This window comes from Homo sapiens, chromosome 1 (genome assembly GCF_000001405.40).
Source record: "Homo sapiens chromosome 1, GRCh38.p14 Primary Assembly".
NCBI lineage: Eukaryota > Metazoa > Chordata > Mammalia > Primates > Hominidae > Homo > Homo sapiens.
Genome location: NC_000001.11, coordinates 90,175,066 through 90,177,579, shown reverse-complemented (window position 1 = coordinate 90,177,579; position 2,514 = coordinate 90,175,066). Strand labels below are relative to the sequence as shown.

The 2,514-nt window shown below is 38.6% G+C and overlaps 1 annotated feature.

Moving 5' to 3' along the window:
* Nucleotides 597-1,129: an enhancer, noted in NCBI's record as "NANOG hESC enhancer chr1:90642009-90642541 (GRCh37/hg19 assembly coordinates)". NCBI's record gives its function as "activates a minimal SCP1, AML or CMV promoter by ChIP-STARR-seq in primed H9 embryonic stem cells {active_cell/tissue: H9 hESC(primed)}" and the evidence as "EXISTENCE:reporter gene assay evidence [ECO:0000049][PMID:30033119]".

Below are 2,514 nucleotides of genomic sequence, written 5' to 3'. Positions count from 1 at the left end.
ATGTGGAAACTTGATTAAGTAAGTTCTGCTGCTGCTCCTTGGTAGAGTGGTACCCTGTCCAGTGGCCCACAGCTTCCTGAGCCCCTGTGTCCAATTCATCATTACTACACTTTATAGTAAACTTGAAAGTCAGACTGGTTAGAATCCCAGATCAACAAATGTATTAGCCATGGGATCACAAGTCTTGGGTTTTTTTTTTAATTGGTTAGATGAGTAAAAAACTGATTTAAAAATTTACCTCACAGGGTTGCCCTAAGAAAATAATTTATATAAAGCATCTATCACAATGTCCAACATATAGTAGATGCTCAAAAATTATTGTTTTCCTTTTTTCAAAAACATATCCCTACCCAGAACTTACTCTCCTCTAAACATTTTGGGGGGAAAAAAAACTAAGTAAGGATCAATCATGCAAATAAGCAACTTATTATGAACCTACAATCACTCAACCAAAACAGAATGCCAACACTATTTTTTTCAAAAGTGTATGCTATGCTAATTACATCCAAAGTACTTGCTTTCAATAATTTGTCCCAAAGGTGGATTATGCTTGTTGATACAGATCCTGGGTCTAAATAACAAGTCAACATGACTTTGATTAGTTTCCAATGTGTATAGTTTAGGAAGGAATCTAAAGAATTTCTCAAAAGCTCTTCTTTCTTAAAAATCGTTGGGGGAAATTACAGGGGACTTTTAATCTAGAACAGGAGACTCTTTCTCAGATGTCTCATGAACCAAAGCAAAAGAGACTAAGTAACTAGGACCTGCTGGCCCCCAAGCTGCCTTTATTTAGGTAACCATAACAAACAAAGTACCCATCACCATGGGGTCAATTTCTTAAGAAATAGAGCTTCCTCTCTCAGTCACACAAGCTTATCTCATTTTTTCGCAACCTAAAAGGTGAAGTGAAGGCCAAATTGTTCAGGGTGTTAGTTAGACACCAAAGAGCTTCACTAACCAGTTACAGTTCTACTGGCCATCCAGAACTCAGTATTTTTTCCAAGGTCAGGCCACAGTGACCACAGACATCTGAAAATGAACCAAATCACAAGACCTCTCTAGAAAGAGTAACTTTACTCCTCAATATAGAAGAAAAGACCTAGAATCCAGCTGAAAGCACACTCTCACCACTCAGCCCAACTGGAGGAGAGGTGGGGGCGTGAGGTGAATGATGGTGGGAACATCAATGAACCATGGTTTATGTGGAAGTCTTAAGATCCATTTTGAAACTCATCACCCACCAAAAGACAGTGTAAAAGAAAAAAGGAATAAAGCTACCTGTCACATCCATACAGTTTGAGTTGTTCTGTTTAAATGGAAAACAAAAATGCTTTGATTTTATTGCTTTCTAGTAACAGACAAGAAAAAAAGAATATTTTAGGTAGTTCTCACTCTCCCAGCTAAATAAAATAAAACTCCTGTTCTGATTCCAATCCTATTATCAAAGGACCATTCACCTAATGTAAAAAAGTCGCTCTTCATCAATTTATCATTAACAAGAGCATTACTACCTAATGTAAGGGAACTGCTCTTCCCCCAGGGATTCTGTTAATGGGAGGCTGGAGCCAGATAACAAGCATGGGAACAGGTTGGCCACGGGAGGGAATGCAATATACATGTTCTGTTTTCCCAGCAAAGGATATTGCACAATGGCCTTCTATGACTGATGAGTTCCTGGCACACTCAAAAAAGAATGGAGGGGGCTGAGGTGACAAAAGCTTAAACTTTCACAGGGCCACCTTCCATAATTTTTTAAGGAGTCTATGCTTGTTTTCAATACACATTCCCCAGTGGCTCTCTGTGAGCTGCCCAGCTTTCTCATCCTCTCTTTAGGAGCATGCAGACTTGCAGTATGAGAGTGATGCATCCTGGAATAATAAGACAATGTAAATAAGCACATTTTTCAAAGACTACGATGCTGCTGTTAGTTCCTTATTAGGTCATCCTGCAATAAACACAAGGTGTTGCTCTAAACTCTCTATTGGTATTAACTAATTTAATCCTTCCAAAGATCCTAAGCATTTGCTGTTATTTTTCCCATTTTTACAGATGTGAAAGAGGAAGCACAAAGAGGTCTAACAACCTTCTCTGTGTCACAGAGTTAAAATATACATGGTAGAGCTAGGATTTGAACCCAGCACTTCTAGCATTGGAGTCCATGCTCTTAAGTAGCATGTCTTACTCTAATGCCTTTCAATCCTACTAATAAGAAAATAAGAGCAGGCAAATTAATATATGAATTGAGGTATATATGAGGTAACCAATGCATAATCAAGCATTCAGGCTGGTAAAGCTGGATGCTTCAATCAGATCATGAACATTGTAGCCAAACCCAGATTCAAATCTTGGGCAGACTCTACTACACATTAGTCAGTGCAATAAACTGAATGTTTATGTCCCCCTAAAAGTCATATGTGGAAATCCTAACCCCCAAGGTGGCATTATTAGGAGGTGGGGGCTTTGGGAGTTGATTAGGTTATGAGGGCAGAACCCTCATAAATAAATTAGTATACT